A 19,474-nucleotide genomic window follows, 5' to 3' on the forward strand; every position below is an offset into this window, starting at 1 on the left:
AATATTTATTAGCTCATAGTGATATAAATAAATGATTGAATGAGTAAACAATGGAGGGGAAGAGACAAACCTCTCCCATGCTAATGAATTCCAAATCATAGATGTGGCTCTTCCATCTTCGAGGAGGGGGGTAACTCCCACACCCCTCAAGCGCGGGCTGTGCGTGGTGACTTCCTTCCAAGAGGACAGTGTGGAAAGGAGAAGAGTGACTCCACCAGGGAGGGTCTGACACGCAGGATCCTGGCCGGGAAGGGCAGTGCCATCAGTGACAAGTCTGCTGACAGCTGGCACTCGGTCTGATGTACCTCACTCACCCCTGCAGCCTTCCTCCCAAGAACCCACAACCCCATCCGATGCCCAGAAAAACATCAGACAGACCCACGTTGAGAGGCATCCTCCAGCGTGCCTGGCCAGCCCTCAGAGCTCACTAGGTCATCCAGCACAAGGAAAGTCCCCAGACTGCCCCAGCCTAAGATGTACTGTGGTGTCCTGGTGGGATCCTGGGACAGGAAGAGGAAATACTGGTGGAAGCTGAACAAAGCGTGGCATTTGGAGAACACTAAGGTGCTGATGCTGGCATCCTCCTCGTGGTGAGTGTCCCAGGCTAATGTAAAGTGTTAATAACTGGGGAACTGGGTGTGGTACAGACAGGAACTGGGAGGCTCAGCTAAAATGCCCCATCCTGCGTGGGTGCATCCTGCAGTGTGTGGCTGAGAACAGGGCTCTGGAGTCAAACACTCGGCTCCTGACCTCGGCTCTATCCTGACCATCCGTGTGACCTCCCTGTGCCTCACTGTCTCCATCTAGCAAGCAGGAACTCGCTAGGCTATCTCTGCAACTTTTCTGTAAATCTGAAACTATTCTATCAAAGTAAAAAAGTAAATTCCTTCTAGCGCCACCACTTAAGACCAATCACTCTTACGTCCCGCCAAGCTGCCTTCCATTCTTATTTCTGGCCACTTCCCATTGATAAAATTATACCTATTTGTCCACTCATTTGTCATTAACAGAATCATAATAGACTGCTTCATCGCCGTGTCAGCGTGGTATGTACAGTAAGCGTACTTCCTTGTAATTTTGCACCTTGCTTTTATTCATGAGCACATAAGCTCCCCAGTCGTTAGCTGTTCTTTGCCAACGTTATTATGTAATCAAAGCCTCCCCTAACCAGCCCTCGGTTCTTCCTTGTTTTTTTCCTACGGATAAACCACACCAAGAAGCACAGCTCTGAGCACACACCTTCGTCCGCATTTCAGGGACAAAAGTCGTCCAAGGAATCGCTCTCCACGGAGGCCACATCTTTCTCCGTCAGGCCCTTGGTGTGCTGGCAGAGCAGGGTTTTGTGCTAGCGGAGATTAATGACCGTAGCTGGGAAGTGCATGAAGCTTTCCCTGGAAAGAAAGAATCTATGGGATCACCATTCATTCACTTAAACGCAGGCACTCCTTGCAGACTATTGATTTTTGCTCCATGAGCTTAATTGTCTTCTGGAGATATTTTGGGGTCTAGCAAGGCCACCATAGTCGCCTCGTGCCATTGCCCACTGCCCTCCCCAGGAAAGCTGTGCTCATCTTCAGCAGGGCTGGTCCTATCCAGCCCCACGCGAGGCCCAGCTTAAATGCCCCATTCTGCGTAGGCGCACCCTGCAGTGTGTGGCTAAGAACAGGGCTCTGGAGTCAAATGCTTGGCTCCAAAGGGAGACTTCCTTTGGGACTTGCTTTGGGTCCCCTGTTAGGATGAGAACCACGTCCGGTACAGCCACAACTGCTCTCCTGCCTCACCCGCATCTCTGCGGCGCCCGGTGCCTGTGTAAGCCAGGACTCTACAAGTTTGTCGAATGAGGGAATGAATGAATGAGTGAATGAATGAATTAATGAAGGAACGAACGAACACTGTGTGCTTGTAGGATCGGAGCGGGGGGTGCACACTCAGTCTCTGGGTAACCTGGTTCAAATTCCATGGCTGTGCGACCTCAGGTAAGTTTTGTCTGCCGCCTTGTCTGCCAATTGCAAAGCAAAATGGCCCCGGGGCCACCTGTGAGTGTCTGGGTGTCTGTCATTCCAAATGTAGAGATGCGATGTCCCGAATCTGACCAAGCCACCAAACCCAGCCGGGATAAGGGTGTCTCCTCCTAAATGGCCCACTCCTTTGTGGGCCCCTTTGAAAACCTAAACCAGGCCACCCCCTCCCTTCCTCACGCCTCCCTAGAGACCTCCCAGCCCGAATAACACGATTCCCGGTTGGAGGAGCTATTGTGTGTGTTTCTTGGGGTTGCCGTTGCAAAGACCCACAACCTGGGGAGCTGAAAACAGCAGCAATGTATCCTCTCTCAGTCTGGAGGCTGGGAGTCCAAGGTGTCGGCCAGGCTGGTTCCTTCTAGGGGCTCAGAGGGACCCTTCGTTCTGTGCCGCTCCCAGCTTCCTGAGCTGCCAGCAATTCATGGCCGTGGTGATGTGCAGATGTGTCCCCTGTCTCTGCCTCTGCCTGTGTGTTGCCTTCTCTCTGCGTCCCTACCTCCCCTCTCCTTATAAGGATGCCAGTCATTGAATTTACGGTCTACCCTAAATCCAGATGGCTTCATCCTGAGATGCTTAGCCACGTCTCCAATGACCCTATTTCCAAGTAAGATCACAGTCGCGAGTACTGGGGATAGGGATGTTGACGAATCTTTTTGGGGTCACTAAACAACCCACTGTGCTGCTGTCCGAGGCCTTGCAGACCCAACACCTGGCTGCTGCTCCAGCCCCATATCTGCCTCCTGCTCAGTCCCCTACATCAGCACCTCGGGCCTGCCCTGAGTTCCCTGGGGACCCCCGGCTCAGCGTTCTCCTCTGCTGAAGGTAGTGGGCCCCACCCCGTCACTCTCTCCCCGTCCGTCCCTGGTCCTGCTTTGGAGCAGTTGTCCCTGAAACAGAATTTTAGACAGGGTCTTTGAGCGCTCACCTGTCTTGGCTCTCTGGAATGGATTCACGTTCATGGCAGAGGCTGTGAACCCTGAGTTTACGGTGGAGCCTCAGTGCCCAGAACAGTGCCCAGAACAGTGCCCCGCACTCCATGAATGAATGAATGAATGGCTATGATTAGCACTGAGCCAGCTGGGTTTGGGAGGAAGCTGCCATTTCTGCAGCACCCCCTCCCTGGTGTGTGGGGGGGCCCAGCCCAGGCACTCATGAATGAATGAATGAGTGAATGAATGAATGCATGCATGCATGAATGGATGGCTACAGTTAGGCTGAGCCGGCTGAGTTGGGGGTGAACCTGCCATTTCTGGGCACCCCTCCCTGGTGTAAGGAGAAGCCTGACCCAGGCACTCCATGAATGAATAAATGAATCAGTGAATGGCTATGATTTGCATTGAGCCGGCTGGGTTGAGAGTGGACCCACCATTTCTGGGCACCCCTCCCTGGTGTGTGGAGAAACTTGGCCCAGGCACCCCATGAATGAACAGACGAATGAGTGAATAGCTAAGATTCACACTGAGCCGGTCAGGTTGGGGCTGGACCTGCCATTTCTGGACATCTCCTCACTGGTGTGCAGGGGCGAGGGTCTGGCCCAGACACTCCATGAATGGATGGCTATAGTTAGGCTGAGCTGGCCGGGCTGGGGGCGGGCCCGCCATTTCTGGGCACTCCTCCCTGGTATCAGGAGGTGAAGGGGAGAGGCACACCCGGCCCAGGCCTCACAACCCCCTTTCTGGTGTGAGGGAGAGAGGCGCACCTGGCCCAGGCCTCACAACACCTTTCTGGTGTCGGGGGAGAGGGGCACCTGGCCCAGGCCTCACAACCCGCTTTGTGTTTCAGGTCATCCTTGTCAGCTCCTCACTCAGTGACCGGGACCAGAGCCTATTCCTCAGCGCAGACGAAGGCGCCACCTTTCAGAAGCAGCCCATTCCCTTCTTCGTGGAAACTCTGATTTTCCACCCTAAGGAGGAGGACAAGGTCCTCGCCTACACAAAGGAGAGCAAGGTAAGATATATGGGTGCCAGTCGCCTGGTCTGTGGGGCTGGGGTCTGCTCGACCCACCTGGAGGTGAGTGCCCACTTGGAGCAAGTGGGACCCGGAACCCCTGGGCTGGCTGAGGAGGAGCCTCCCGGGGCTGGGGGCCGGGATGCTGGACCCCGTCATCGCCCTCTCCTTGGTGCCCCCTCAAGGGACCGTGCCCACTTGGCTGTGCTGTGGGAGCTGAGCGAGGTGGTGGTGGGCAGTGCACCAGGCTCAGAGGCTCAAGAGAGGAACCAGTGAGTAGCAGGCGATTAGGATCATGCCACTCGCCATCCCTTTCTGCACACCAGTCACAAGGGCCTTTCTCCACTTCCAGAACATTGCGCACACCCTCATCAGACCTCACTAGGCCTTTCCCTCAGTGTGGAATGTTCTTCTCCCCTCGCCAAGAGCGGTGGCTTGTTCTTCCCCAGATCAGCATCTCCTCCTCTGGGAGCTGTGTCCATGGGGTTCAGCAGGGAACTGAGGCTTTGTCCCCCGGTGAGTGGGGGAGCGGGGGGCCAGCCTGGTGAGGAGCATTGGGCTGCATCTGCAGGGAGGGGCCCACCTGGGTTCTGAGGCTGTGGAGGGAGAGGGCCTGGGGGCTGGGGAGGGCCCAGTAGGAAAGGACTTTGTTCCTTTTCTGCAGCCGTGGGAACAAATGGCCACAGGCTCTAGCTTAAGCAACAGAAACTTATTCTGTCACAATTCTGGAGGCCCACAGTCCAAAACCAGCGAAGATCAAAGTGTCAGTGGAGCTGCACTTCCCCCTGGGCTCTAGGGAGGAGTCCAACCCTGCCTCTCTCAGCTGCTGGCAGCTGCCAGTATCTCCTGGCTGTGGCCACATCTCTGCACCTTCAGGCTTCAAATCTCCTCTGCCCCATCTCCATGCTGCCTACTGCATAAGTGTGTGTGTGTATGCACACTTGTAAGTGTGTGAGTGCATGTGTGTGGGTGTGTCAGTGTGAATGGGTGTGAATGTGTGTGGGGGTGGGTGTGAATGTGTGGGTTTGTGGGATGTGGGGGGGTGTTAGTGTGAATGTGTGTGACTGTGGGTGCATGTGAATGTGTGTGGGAATGCGAGTGTGGGTGTGAGTGTATATGTGCGTGTGAATGTGTGGGTGTGTGGGAGTGTGTATATGAATGTGAGTGTGTGCAAATGTGTGTGAGTGTGAGGGTGTGGGTGTCTGTGTGTGAATGTGTGTTCACCTGTGAGTGGGTGTGGGTGTGAGACTGTGAATGTATGAGTGTATGTGGGTGTGAACGTGTGTGTGTGTGGGTATGTATGGGTGAGGTTGTGTTTGAGTGTGAGGGTGTGTTTTAGTGTGTAAATGTGTGGGTGTGAGGGTGTGTGTGATTGCGTGTATGAGTGCATGGGTGTGCACGTGAAAGTGTGTTTGTGGGTGTGTGTGTGTTTGTGAGAATATGTCTGTGTTTGTGAGAATGAGTGTGGGTGTGAATCTGAGTGTAGATGTGAGCACGTGTGCGAGTGTGAAAGTGCATGTCTGTGGGAGTGTGTACGTGAGTGTGCATGTGTGAGAGTGTGAGTGTGTGTGTTTATGAGTGTGAAACAGCATGTCAGTGTGTGCTTGTAGGTGTGTGTAAGAAGCTATGTTAGCGAGTGTGAGTGTACATGAGTGTGTGGTGTGTATGGGCATGTGTGGGTGAGTGTGAGAGCCTATGTGAGTGTGAGTGTGTACATGTATGGGTGTGTATGAGCGTGTGTGTGTGAGAACCTATGTGAGTGTGTATGTATGTGAGCATGTGTGGGTGTGTGTGAGCATGTGAGTCTACATGAGTGTGTGGGTGTGTATGAGCATGTGTGGGTGTGTGAGAGTGTGAGAGCCTATGTGAGCATGTGTGAATGTACATGAGTGTGTGGGTGTGTGAGTGTGTGTGGGTGAGTGTGTGTGATCGTGTGTGTGAGTCTACATGAGTGTGTGGGTGTGTATGAGCGTGTGTGTGTGTGTGAGAGAGAGCCTATGTGAGCGTATGTGAGAGTGTGTGAGTGTATGTGGACGTGCGTGGGTGTGTGTAGATCTCCCTCTGCGCCTGCTTTCTGTAAGGACTCGGGCCTTCGTTTAGGGCCCACACAGATAGCCTGGGGTGATCTTCACATCTGGAGACCTCAGCAATCCCAACTGCAGGCTCCCTTTCTGCCCTGTGAGGTGATGGTCCCAGGTTCTAAGGATTAGGACATAGATACATTTTGGGGGCCACTCTGAACCTAGAACCTCTGCCCAACAGGAGGTGTGGGCTCCACAGTTGCAGGAAGGGTCCCAGTAGGAGGCCTGGCTCTGGGTAGAGCAACTGAGCCAAACTGTGGCTGGTCAGGGAACGAGAGGAATAGCACATGCCTCTTTCTCTCTCCAATGCACTGAGGCTTCCCACAGATGGAATCCAATCAGAGGCTAGAGGAAAGAGGCTGTGGAACTGTCTACACAGGTCAGTCTCAGGGCCAGAGAAGGGTGGATCTGTCTACGTAGGTCAGCTCCCAGGGTCAGAGAAGGGTTGGAAAGAGGCAGCATGGACCTGGAAGGCAAACACAAGCTGCCCAAATCAGCAGCCTTCCCTGTGCCACCGCAGGCCAGCTTGGGCCCCAGTATTTCACACTCTTCCATATTCCTGTGCCTCTCTTTCTCAACACTGATCACAATGGGTATCTATTAGCCCATTGTCACACTGCTATTAAGAACTACCTGAGACTGATTAATTTATGAAGAAAGAGGTTTAATTGACTCAAAGTTCCACATGGGTGGGGAGGCCTCAGGAAACTTACAGTCATGGTGGAAGGTGAAGGGGAAGCAGGCATCATCTTCACAAGGCATCAGGAGAGAGAGCACAAGTTGGGAAATGCAAAATACTTTTAAACCATCAGATCTCATGAGAACTCACTCATTATCACACAAGAACAGCATGGGGGAAACTGCCCCATGATCCAATCACTTCCCACCAGGTTCCTCCCTCCACATGTGGGGATTACAATTTGAGATGAGATTTGGGTGGGAACACAGAGCCAAACCATGTCAGGTAACTCTATCTTTGTGAAGTCATTTGATTATTGTCTACACCCAATACATGCAATTGGGGTAAGCTCTTTGAGGGCAGGGAAAGTGTCTGGTCTTTTTCACCATTTTAATCTAAAGTGCCCGGCTGAAAATATTAGTTGGATGGACAGATCGAGGTTGGGTGGGTGGGTGGATGGGTGAGGAGGGATGGACAGATGAATAAATGGATGAATAGATGTATAGATGATGGATGGATGGATAAATGGATGGATGGATGGATGGATGGATGGATGGATGGATGGGTGGGTGGATGGATGGATGGGTGGATGGGGATGAATGGATGGATGGGTGGGTGGGTGGATGGATGGGGATGGATGGATGGGTGGTTGGATGGATGTGTGGACAGATGGATGGATAGATGATGGATGGATGAATGGATGGATGGTAGATGGATGGGTGGATGGTGGATGGATGAATGGGTAGATGGATGGATGGGTGGATGGAGATGAATGGATGGATGGGTGGGTGGTGGATGGATGGGGATGGTTGGTTAGATGAATGAATGATAAATTTCTACCAACAGGGACAGTCCAGGTCAGGGACCTCCAAATGGAGATTCCTGGCTGTCCTTTGCCATGGCTCTCGACAGGACCTGGCCTCCTTGCCAAGGTTGGGTCCTCCCTGACTGGCGTCCCTGCATTTCTCAGCCTCCTGGGCTACCTCTTTGCTCCTGGCCCCTTCCTTGGGGATGGCTTGTGCTTCTGGGTATTAATAGCACTACTTAGCCTTCCATGTAATTAGACTAAAGCACAATCACGGAGACTTATTTTCCCGCAGAAATTGACTGCATTGCAATTGCTCTCTAATTTATGGTGCCCTGAAAAATTAATGGAGCTGAAATCTCAGTTATTTGCTTTGGTTCTTTTCTGTGACTATAAGGGGAGAAAAAGGCTTAGTTGCAGTTGTAAAAGGAATGAGGAATGTGAGGAAATTAATAACAATGACAAGAGGGCTTTAGTTTTTGAGGAGGCTATGCAGTTTTTCAAAGCTAATTCTCAAGAAGCAGGGTGGTGTGGTGGAACAACGTCAGCTTTGACTCCAACAAATCTGGTGTATTAGGCAGGTATCTGCAACAATCATACTGAGTAACACACAGCTCCAAGCCTCAATGGCTTACAGAAACAAGCATTATTTCTTCTTCCTGGGGCTCTGTGGGTGCCCAGAGGCTCTGCTGGGCTTTGCTGCGATTGGCTATATGAGGCTCCTGGTTACTGGTGGAGTTTGCGTCCCCATACGACTCTTATGCTGAGAGCACACTATTCTCATGATGAGGGGGCAGAGGCTCCAGGGGTTGCAAACCACACAAGCAGCTTTAGCATAACAGCTTTGACCTGGAAAACATCACATCTACTCACACAGCATCGGCCAAAGCAAGTCACATGACAAGCCCAGAGTCAATGGAGTGGACACAATTGCCCTGCTCTAAGGATTTGCAGATTTGTGCAAAGCCAAAGGCTTGCCTCCCTTTCCTTCCCTACCTCTTCCTTCCCATACGCCCGCCCTGCCTCCAGCAAACACCTATCCACCTACCCTCAGACTGCCCTGTTCCATGACTTTACAATGCTTCCCTTATCCTCGTTATAATTTGGGTCACTGTGAGTCTGCCTTACTTGGATCCTGGACAGCCTTCCTGGGTGACAGCATAATATGCATTTCTTCCAAGGCTCAGCCGACTGCAGTAGGCTCTTGGGATTGGTAGGAAGTGAGAGCCCAGCAGTCCCTTCCCACGCCAGCTTCCTGGGGGCTGCTGACATGAAACTGACCAGCCTGTTTCCTCTGTGCCTGGTCTTCAGACCTGCTTGCTGAGGCAGAACCCTGGGCACTTACTTCTAAAAGCATAAACTCACTTTTATATTTTATTGAATTTTATTCCCCATCAAGCACTTCTTCTGCTTCCCAGCATGGTGAGAAATTGATCTGAGCCCAGGATTGCCTTTTAGAAACTTAGTAGGGCAGAGAAGACACCTTTGGGTGGGCAATCAGGGAAGACTTCCTGGAGGAGGAATGTTCGAACAGGGGCTTAAAGAATGGATCAGAATGTATCTTTAATTTGTAATACATCTTCAGGGCAATAAAGATGATCACATATGACAAGAAAAAGAAAAACCCTCACAGTCCCCCAGCCTTAAGTAAAGCAGTGTTTGCATTGATCCATATTAAAGAAATAGTAGAAATTGCTGGCAGTGGGTGTGAGGAGAGCCCTAATATTGAGTGAACAGAGGTGCAGCCTTCGCGTTGGCTGCTGTGAATATCAGCAGGTTCATGAACTGCCCAGCAGAGCTACAAGCTTCGATACCACGTTGATGGCTCGCTCTGACCTCAGACTTGAGAACAGGGAAAAGATTGGGCATCTCTTGAGTAACAGAACAATTCTCTTAGCAATGAGAAGCCCTCACTCAGCATGTGTTCATTTTGCTCTAAGAATTTTCATCTGCTGGGGCTCAGGGCAGGAACAATACTCCCCTCTGGATATGTAAGCAGAAAAGGGATTTAACAGGAGGGATCAGTGCTTTCTAAATTGTTGGGAGATAAGGGAGAGGGTTTTACACTAGACCCCCCTTCCCAGGATGCCTCCTGAAAGCCTGCAGTGTAGACCCACCAGGAAGTTTCTACCTCTGCCCATCAGGAAGGTGGGGACCAGAACCTCCCAGACTTATCAAGCTCAAAAACATGTGGCTGGTGCAGCTGATGTTGCCATTGCTGCAGCCTGCACCTGGTAACTTCCATAAAGCCAGTGACTGGACACCGGAATGTGGAGTCCAGCTGCTGCCTTCACCACCACCACGTCTCCACCCTCCAGAGGTGGAGGGTGGACACAGCACCATGTCCTGTGACCTTGCTGGCAGCAGACATGGCCCAGTGGGGCAGGAAAAAGTCTCTGCCTCACTTTCATCTTCCAAAATTGGCACGAGTGCATCCACCTGACCTGGAAATCTAGCTGCAAGGGAGTCCAAGTGATGCTGGGCTGCAGCTTTCAGGCCTCTGCAGTGAAACGAGGCACCCTGGAGTGAGGGATGAAAGCATGTTGAGTGCCACCAATCACATCCAACTGCCACTAAGAGTCCAGGGCAGACTCGAAGCACCTCCAGAAACCATAGAAGACACTGGCACACTCTTCTATGTGCCCTTCCTGGGCCCTCAAGCTGCTCCTTTCCCTCCCTCCTGTCTTGCTTCACTCTGACTTTTTATCTTCATATGAGAGTGGGAGGCGTGTCCTCACTCACCACCTCCACTGCTTTCTGAGATGTTGAGTGATGAAATTCACCCTTCCACAGGATGCACCCATGCAGGTTTCAGCTGCAGTAACTGGGCTGTCCCGGATGTGTTTATTCTTGTTTATTTGCTGGTGTTTGTCTTTTATTAAGCAGAAATGTTCTATTTCTGCAGCAATTGATGGTGGATAGTAAAAGCGCCTCCCAGGAGAGTGAGTTGGAAAGGCTTCATAAAGCTCCAGGGCAGGCGTCGTAAACGCAAGCGCATGAGGCAGTGATGCCAATGGTAACGCCATCCATTAATGTGGAGGCTTTATTACCTTGCTCACAGGAACCCACGGTGACGACTCGCTTTTTAGGCATCTATTGACTGTGGGTATGAGCAGTGCCCTCCTGATATGGTAAACTGAGACATGAGATAGAAGGGTGCCTGGCCTGAGTCACTCGGATGACCCAGAGAAAGGGCTAGAGGTGACCAACCATCCTTCTTGAAGGCAAGGGTGACTCCTCAGCCCCTGGTACAGTCCTGTGAGCTCAAGTCTGTGAGATGGGAATTGCTGACATAAGGGAGTGCTGTGTGACCTTGAGTAACTTACCTAACCTCTCTGAGCTTCAGTTCTTTCATTTGTCAAGAGGGAAAATTGCCAGCTTATGGGTGTGTTTGTGAGTATGTATATGCATGTATGTGTGTACATGTGTGTGTGAGTGTGTGTGGGTGTGTGAGTGTGAAGTGAGGTGGCATTCAACAAGCACAGCTCAGTGCCTGGCTCCGTAAAAGGCCACAGCTGCTGCCAGGCTCTCTCACACTGTCTGTCAGGCCCAGACAGAAAAAGAAGTACAACCAATGGCTGGAGCTGCAGGTATTTGTTGAACACATACTGCATGCCAGGCACTGCTCCACAAGCTTATTAAAAGCTCCTTGCCCTCATGAAGCTTATGTTCTAGGGGATGAAAACTTTCTTTAAAAAGTCCTTTCTGAATATGAAAGGTGATGGCTTCTTACCATAGCTGTGTGCCAGTGAAGCTCCGTTTACAAACCCAGGTGACAGCCCATGGCTTGCTGACACCTGCTCCAGGGTGTATGGTACACCATCTCTGTGCACCACTATCCCTGGCTGCCTTCCTGCTCCCAAGGCCGTGGTGAGTGGTTGCTACAGAGACCACACAGCCCACCCGGCTGAAAATATTTACTACCTGGCCCTTTACAGAATGCACTTACCAGCCCCTGCCCTAGAGTCAAACGTGTTCATTCGGTCAGCAAATGGGCCTTGCGCACCCGGCAGCCACGGATTCCGGGCTACCGCTGGTGCCGCAGGTGAGCGAGGCAGGTGTGTGCCCCCGGGCTGTGAGCGGCTTAGCCGAGGAGCAGGAGATAAACTCCCAGGACGCAAGGAAGTCAGCAAACAGCTGTGCAGGCGTGAGCTCCGCACAGCGCACACGGGGCCGGCAGGCTGGGGACAGTGCCGCCAAGATGCAGGCAGCTGAGCCGGGGCTGGGCTGGGAGGACTTCAGGGGTGGGGGTGGAAGGTACGCATCCGTATGGCTGGATTGTGTCCCCCAAAATTCCTATGTTGAAATTCTAACCCCTGGTACAAAAGAATGTGACCATATTCACAGATAGGGCCCTTAAATGATCATTAGACTATTAGGGTGGGCTCCAATCCCATTTGACTGGTGTCCTTATAAGAAGAGGAGATCAGGACACAGACAGAGGCGGGAGTGGTGGTGCACACTGATACTCCCAGGCAGGAGGATCGATTGAGCCCAGGAGTTTCAGGGCTGCAGAGAGCTATGATTGCACCACTGCATTCCAGCCTGGGTGATGGAGCAAGACTCTGTTTCAAAAAATCAAACTACAAAAAAAAGACAGGCACAGAGGGAAGACCACATAAAGACGAGGGAGAAGGCGGCGTTTGCAAGCCGAGGAGGGAGAAACCAACCCTGCCGATACCTTGATCTTGGACTTCTGGCCTCAGAACGGTGTGAGAATCTGTTTCTGTGGTTTAAGCTGAGCCCTCTGGGGTACGTTGTTACGGAAGCCCACGTCAGCTAATACAGCTTCCTGTGTGAACAGAACATCCTGGACAAAAACCCAGGGGCGGGAGGCACATGCGCGTTTTGGGATCAGGGTGCATCCTGTTGGTGGAGTGTGACTTATGCTACACCAGAGGGGGTTTGGTGGGAACAGGGCCCAGGGCAACCACTCAGGGCCTCGTCTGTCAGGCCGGGAGACCCGGACTCTTACCTGTGGAGATGTGGAGCTGGGAATGACGCTGTCCCGAAAAACAGGAGGTAGCCAGGGGACGAGAGGGAAGTAGGGATGCTCCAGGCAGAGGACACAGCTTGCGCAAAGGCCTGGAGGTGAGAGAGCAAAATGACCCCCATTCCAGATGATTGAGCTTGGGGAACCGTGGGAGTGGGGTTAGCCAGGGTTTAGATGGGCTGAGCAAGACAGACTCTCAACCTCCTTCTTTAAGACAATTTAGCAATCGTGGGTGCTTTCTCCATGCATGTGGCAGCAAAGGAGGGTGGCTTAACAACGTGAACTCCCAGGATTGCTGAAGAGAAAGAGATGATTTCACTCATGGTACCAGGAGCGCAAAGTATTACCAGACAGCCACACTCACAGCTGCCTTTCTCACCGCTCACTGTCAGCGTCACGGGTGGAGCCTTCATCCCTGAAGACACCGTGGAGGCGGGACACCTTTGCCAGGACAGTTCCATGATGCAGGGCCCTGTCTGCTTTTCTTCAGCTGAGGGGAAGAGAGAAGGGACGTTTGCTGCAATTGCCCTTGTGACAGTGGTGGGGTCTGTAGTTTTCAAGGCGAGTTCAGGAATTCATCCACTTTGGTAAGGGAATAAAGGCTGTGTGAGGAAGATCCAGTTCTGATATGGACGAGGAGGGCAGGGGGGTCGCCAGCCACCCAGGATTTGCTACGTTTCACACCTGCAGTCTCCTGGCCGTGGTTCCTTGGGCAACATCCTGGCCAGTCTTGCAGTGGGCTCAGCCCTCGGCTGGTTCTTCTGATCTGCTCATCCTCAGGGAACCTGCCATGGGAAGCCTGCATGAGAGCTCCGGGTGTGTTCATCTCGACTCTGAAGCGTGAACCGTGGTAAAGCTTTGCTGCTGCAGGACCGGCTAATTGGCAGCTTGAGCATCTGAGCTTCACTGCGGTAGCTTGCATAGTGTCTCATCGCTGAAGTTTCCGAGATGGGAGACTAGGGGAGGCAGGAGCAGCCGAGGTGGAGTGGGGAAGTGGGGTGGCCTGAGATGGAATGGGGTGCCGGCCCCTGAGGGCTCTGCTTACGGTGGGGCAGGTGGGGTGGCGGGCACCTCTGGGATTGTGGTTGCAGGACCTGGTGGATGGTGGGAAGGAGGGAGGCCATTTACTGAGACCGCAGAGGAGGAGGAGGAGGAGGAGGAGGAAGACACGGAGGCTGGAGGAGCAGGGCTGGTTGAGAAAGGAGCCAGCTTCTGCTGGGCCCTGCTAAGTTGGGGGTGGTGCAGGGAGGAAGTGACCGTGGAGAGGGTGTCAAGGAGTCAGGGGTCATCAGGGCAGAAATGGGGACTGAGTCACTTCCTGGCAGGAGAGGATCCTGGAAGGGGGATGTGTGGCATGAGCCTCAGAGTAGGCCTGATGTCACCCCCAGGCAGCAGCGACCTTGGGACTCAGCCCCCGCCTTCCTCTGCCTGGGAGTATTTATAGAGGGCCTTCTAGGTTTCAGGAGCTGGGGCAACTGCTGGGAACAAAACAGACCAACCCCTGCCCTCGTGGGGCCTCCTTTCTAGATGAGGATGGGGGCGCAGAGCAGATGACGAGGGATGGGTTAGAAGCTGCTGGGTCTACTGAGGGCGGGCGGGGAGTGAGGGGGCTGCCAAGCGGCTTGGCCTCTGCATGGTTGGAGAGCTCAGAATGTGAGCTTGGACCTGCCATGGTGGAGGAAGAGAGGCTAGAAACCAGGGACAGGCACCAGGGCGGCCCCGGGGAGCAATGGGAGTGGACTGAGTGCCGTGGTAGAGGAAGAGAGGCTAGAAACCAGGGACAGGTGCCAGGGCAGGCCTAGGGAGCAATGGGAGTGGACTGAGTGACACAGGATGTCCTGGATCTGAGGAGCTAGAGGCCAGAGAACCAGAGTTCTGAGCGTAGCATGAGGGGACACGCCTGGGGATCCCTCCCCCGAGCCCAGCTGGCACTGGCACCAGGACATGAGGGTGTGGCGGACGAAGGCACTGCAGCCCCGTCCTCTCTGGCACCTGGGCCCTGAGCACAGACTCTGACTTCACAGACAGGGCTCTAACCCTGGCTTTGCAATAGCAGGGGCAGGGCCTCTGAGCCAGCGGCCTTAGCAAAGGCCTGACCCGGGGGAGACTTTAAAGTGAGTCTTGAACACCGGCTGGGGATGAGGAAGGGCATTCCAGGCAGGGGGCACAGCACGCGCAGATGCTCAGAGGACCCTGTGCACATATTAGTGCCACATGTGTGAGTGAGCCCTGAGCCGAGCGTGCCTGGGGTGGGGGCATGCAGGGAGTGAGCAGGATGGCAGCCAGAGGGGGGTCCAATGGTATCGGGGGGGCTGTGTACCCATGTGAGGGTGTGGGCTTTTTTGGAGGCCACACCTCTCCTGGAAGGTCTGCGTGGAGAGTGGCAGGACCAGGTGTGCTCTGCAGCTGCAGGACCGAGGGCTGAGAGCAGGGGTCCACGGAGATGGTGTGGCCCAGCTGGGCCATGGCCCTGGGTGGAGAGGGGTGCAGTGTGCAGCTGGTGCAGGGTACACAGTTGCATCTGAAGCGTGGTGACTTATTAGACATGGCAGCAGGAAGGTGAGGACAGGAACCCAGGGAGGAAAAGGCCCTGGGCACTGGGCTTGGAGGCTGGGTCAGGAGCAGAGGGTGATTAGGCCCAGGCGGGCTTCCAGGAGGAGGGGGCACACCTGCCTGTGCTGAGAGGCAGGGCTGCACAGGGTTGGGCTTGATGACCTGTTTCCCTTCTGAGATTCTGCACATCCTTCTTTGGTGAACAGCAGTGGTGGCAGCGGTGTCTGCAACAGCAGTGACATCCATGATGTCGTTGGTTCGTCATAAGGTGGTGCCCGTGACAAGGACACGTGGGAACAGAAAAGAAGCACGCGGCACAGAAGAAGTCAGTTGTGGCGGCCCTCAGAGCCAGCAGATGTGGCCTCTGATCCTGGCGGCTATTAGTGTGAATGATGTGCCCGTTATGCAGATGAAGAATTTGGGTTGAGTGGTCGGCTTGAGCCTTCCTTCCTTCCTGGGCCAGTGACGGAAATTGCTGTGGTCAAATGATTCATTCTAGACAGATGCTGATCACAGAAGAAATAAAGAGAAGTGCATTCAAACCACAGATAATTCAAGTGCAGGTCTGACAGGGGGTGACCCTGGGTGAATCACTCAATTGCTGCGAGCCTCCATCTTCCGTCTGCACGAGGTATTGTTAGAAGCATCTACTTCCTGGCGATGTTGTGGGGGCACCTTGAGAGGCAAAGGGCCCGGCTGGTGCTCGCACCTGGAGCGGATCCTGCTATTACGGGTGTTATCAGGCGGTGATCGCGACAGAACGTGCTGTGTGCGTGGCAAGTGCAACCACTTTGCAGCGTGCCTGGATAATCCCCAACATCCCTCAAAGCGGGAGGCCAGATTCCCATTTTAAGAAGTGGTGAAACTGAGGCTCAGAACAGCGTTGGAGCGCACGCAAGGTCTCCTGCTGTGCACGGTGGGCGCTAGTGGAGCCAGGCCTGCCGGAGCCCAAGAACCCTAGACTCACAGACGCTCCCCTTTGAAACACTACAGCTGGGGCATCATTTTATAGATGGGGAAACTGAGGCAAGAAACTGACTCAGAGGCCATGACAGGGAGGCAGACGCCAGCTCCGCAGACCCGGGTCCCCGCCTCCCTCTCCAGCCCTCTCTCCCCGCCCCGCCCAGCCCAGCCCAGCCCAGCCCAGCCCAGCCCAGCCCAGCCCAGCCCAGCCTGCCTCCTCCATCAGCTGCACCTGTGAGGCGGCGCCAGCGACCTCTCCTGGCCCAGGCCTGAATCTGCAACAAAACACGGTGAGCTCTGAGCTTTGCTTCTATAACAAGGACTTCAGCATATGATGCTTCTGGGGTGCAAAGGATCCCCTAAACACCACATAGTCCATCCTCCCTTGAGAAATGCAGTGCGGACCGTATTGCACCAATACAGCCCCTACCCCCAGAGGGGCAGCTGGCAAAAACATAACGCAAATCAAAGATGAACTGGGGACATCAGTTATAGAATCACTGGCCCAGCCCCGATGTCTGTGTTCACTCATCACCTAGGAGTTAGGGATGAAACATATTGAAATGCAAATGAACACCGAGCCAGAGTCAGAGGAGAGGCAAGGGAAAAGGGACAGAGTCTCCTGTTGTCCAGGATGGGGAAAGGCAAACGCGTGTTGTGGATAGGCTGCGTGTCAGACACGGGCTAGACTTCCAAAGCACATGATCGGGTTGAATCATCCCGACCTTCTGAGTGAGGATGAGGATTGTCAGCCCAGTTTTATGGCTGGGGAAAACTGAGGCCTGCCCCGGTAGCTGGTTCCAGGTGAGGATGGGAGCCCAGGCTTCCTGGCATTGCTGTTAAGAGATTGGCCTGGCCACTCTGGAGAGAGAAGAGGAGGACAGACTGCCTCCACAAGGCCCCTCTGCTATCCCGTTAATCTCCTCTGGAGTGGACAGAGGCTTTTCCCAGTTGCTGTGCCAGACCCCTGTTGACTCCAGAAGGGATGGCACCGTGCCCAAGAGGCCACAGAAGAGACCTAGAAACAGCGAATGAGACACAGGGTTTATTGGAGGAAGTTACATGCAGGGACAGTCTGCTGGCAGTGGGCTGGACAGGGGAGCCGCTCCAGTTTGTAAGAAGCCTGCAGTTTATGTAGCTTTTTCCCTCCGCACCCTCCCCCTAGCAACCTCCTCCCAACCCAGAACAGAGGGCCTTGACCCCCGCAGGGCCTGCATTCCAAGGGATGGGCCAGGGCCTGTTCCTCATGGGTAAGAGGTGAATCTCTGGGTTGGCCACTCCTGGATTCCTTAGCCGGGGACTCGGAAGGCACATTCTTCTTAGGCCATGGAAACATTCTCTGGGTGTGCTTTGGTGACCTTCATCGGTTTAGGGGCTGCTTCAGGGAAGAAAGGGAAGGGAGCGGAGAATAGGCTTCCTGCTTCTGCTGTTTTCTCGGTTTCCAAGATGCCACATTTGCGGTAGCGTTGCCAGCACCCATAACCAGTTTCTCATATGGAGAATGGCACTATGAAGTCCCACCCCCTGGCATGGTGGGGCTTGGTGTGGCCAAGAGGAGAGCTCTGATAGAGATGCCTTCCCCACCCGACACGCTGCTGTGCCCAAGAGCTGGCTTCCCTCCTGCCAGAGGAGATCTCGGCTCCCTCCAGGACTGTCTCTTCCATGAAGGAGGGGGAGGCCCTTTCCCACGGGCCACTGTGGAAAGGGGAGCGGCTCTGGGCCTTGCCCGTGGCCCTGGCAACTTCACCTGGCATTTCCAAAACTCATAGCTTGATCAAGGTCCTGTCTCTACCTGAGATCTCCAGGCCAGAGCACTGGGTGTGAACCTGAGGATCAGCTGGCCCCTTCCCTTCTCCCCAGGCCTGGGGCACTGACCCAAGGAGCCCCTGGCTCCATTCATTCCTCCCAGACCTGGGGCACTGACCCGTGGGCCCCCGACCCCGCCCACTCCTCCCAGGTCTAGGAGTGGGCTCCCTGAGTATCCCTGGCCCCATTCACTCCTCCCAGGTTCCGGGGCACAGATCCAAGAACCCTCTCACCCTCTTTGCTCTGCTTACCCCTCAGAGGACCTGTCCAGCTGCCTGCACAGGCCTCTCTCAGGCCCTGTCCTCCTCTCCATTCTGCTGCTGCCCCCAGCTGGGCCCAGGCCTGGCCTCCTCAGGGCTCCCTGCCTCCACCCACAGCCTCTGGTGTGGGCTACTTGAAACGCTGTCTGACCACGGACCCCCTGAGCGCCTCATCTTATCCGGCCTTGGTTGGTGGTTTTGGGCAGGGCCAGCTGTGTGATTTGCAGGGTGCAGTGCAAAGTGAAAAATGTTGACAATCAGGTCAAATGCTTTTCCTTTCTTCTGCGCTCTCTCTCTGGGCCTGTCACCATGTTCTTTATGAGCCATTTAACATTGTGCTCCCTGGCCCACAGGGACACCCTCCCAGGCCCCCAGGACCAGCCTCAAGACAGTGCTCTGGGCGCCCACCCCTGCCCCTTCCTGGGCCCAGGCCTGACCCTGGCACTCACCAGGGACAAGGACAGTGGTGGTCACTGTGTGGAGACAGGACCACAGGCACAGGCAGCTGAGAACCCCTCCCGAGGGCACAGGGCTGGAGAGGGAGCCTGGGCAATCAGCCCAACCCATGCTCTCTTGCCCCCTCAGCCTTCACTTCCAAAGCTCCAACTAAAGACACAATTTTTTTTTTCAGGTGGAGTTTTGCTCTTGTTGCTAGGGCTGGAGTGCAGTGGTGTGATCTTGGCTCACTGCAACCTCCGCCTCCTGGGTTCAAGTGATTCTCCTGACTCAGCCTCCCGAGTAGCTGGGATTACAGGCATGCGCCACCATGCCCAGCTAATTTTGTATTTTTAGTAGAGGCGGGGTTTCTCCATGTTGGTCAGGCTGGTCTCGAACTCCCAACCTCATGTGATCCGCCCGCCTCGACCTCCCAAGGTGCTGGGATTACAGGCGTGAGCCACCGCACCTGGCCCTAAAGACACAATTATTAAGAAGTTCAAGTTGGCAGCTGCAGAGAATTAAGCCCCAGATGTGGGGCCCTTCTGAGCTAGGTCCCTGGGCGATGGCACTGGTCATACGCTGTGAGGCTGGCCCTGGTGTCAGGCCCCAGCCCACCTGCGCCTGCACTGACCCCTGCGGTAGATGCCACACCCCTGCTCGAGGCCACTGCTGTGTCCTGCTCTGCCATCCGTTCACTGCTCCAGCCCTGGCAACACGTGGCTCCTTCCTCCCAAACGCCCTTCCTCCCATCCTCACACAGGATTATAAAGTCCCTCCCACCTTTGAGGCTCAGACACACCTCCTCTGTGAGACCCCTCTGGATTTCACCCTGGAGAACCTCATCTCCTGGCTCCTGCCAGCTGGCCCGGGGACAGGAATGGTTCCTCCTGGAGGCGGTGGGGTTTGGTCTGCATCCCAGCATGAGCACAGC

At 54.3% G+C, this 19,474-nt stretch overlaps 1 protein-coding gene across 9 annotated transcripts in view, besides 2 other annotated features; it reads left to right on the forward strand.

The window, feature by feature from the left end:
* The window catches only part of SORCS2 (sortilin related VPS10 domain containing receptor 2), a 550,290-nt gene that overhangs the window by 441,990 nt on the left and 88,826 nt on the right, over window positions 1-19,474 (forward strand). For 8 of the 9 annotated variants that reach the window (XM_005247987.5, XM_011513515.3, XM_011513516.3 and 5 more), the window contains exon 4: window positions 3,801-3,965. In XM_005247987.5, the coding sequence (XP_005248044.2) occupies window positions 3,801-3,965 (165 nt within the window). Of the gene's footprint in view, window positions 1-146; window positions 591-3,800; window positions 3,966-19,474 lie in introns of those variants that run through there. The other variant, XM_047416008.1, reaches the window with a different exon arrangement.
* Window positions 16,651-17,241: an enhancer, noted in NCBI's record as "H3K27ac-H3K4me1 hESC enhancer chr4:7652905-7653495 (GRCh37/hg19 assembly coordinates)". NCBI's record gives its function as "activates a minimal SCP1, AML or CMV promoter by ChIP-STARR-seq in naive and primed H9 embryonic stem cells {active_cell/tissue: H9 hESC(naive and primed)}" and the evidence as "EXISTENCE:reporter gene assay evidence [ECO:0000049][PMID:30033119]".
* Window positions 18,423-19,013: an enhancer, noted in NCBI's record as "H3K27ac-H3K4me1 hESC enhancer chr4:7654677-7655267 (GRCh37/hg19 assembly coordinates)". NCBI's record gives its function as "activates a minimal SCP1, AML or CMV promoter by ChIP-STARR-seq in primed H9 embryonic stem cells {active_cell/tissue: H9 hESC(primed)}" and the evidence as "EXISTENCE:reporter gene assay evidence [ECO:0000049][PMID:30033119]".

The sequence above is a fragment of the Homo sapiens genome, chromosome 4, assembly GCF_000001405.40.
Source record: "Homo sapiens chromosome 4, GRCh38.p14 Primary Assembly".
Classification (NCBI taxonomy): domain Eukaryota; kingdom Metazoa; phylum Chordata; class Mammalia; order Primates; family Hominidae; genus Homo; species Homo sapiens.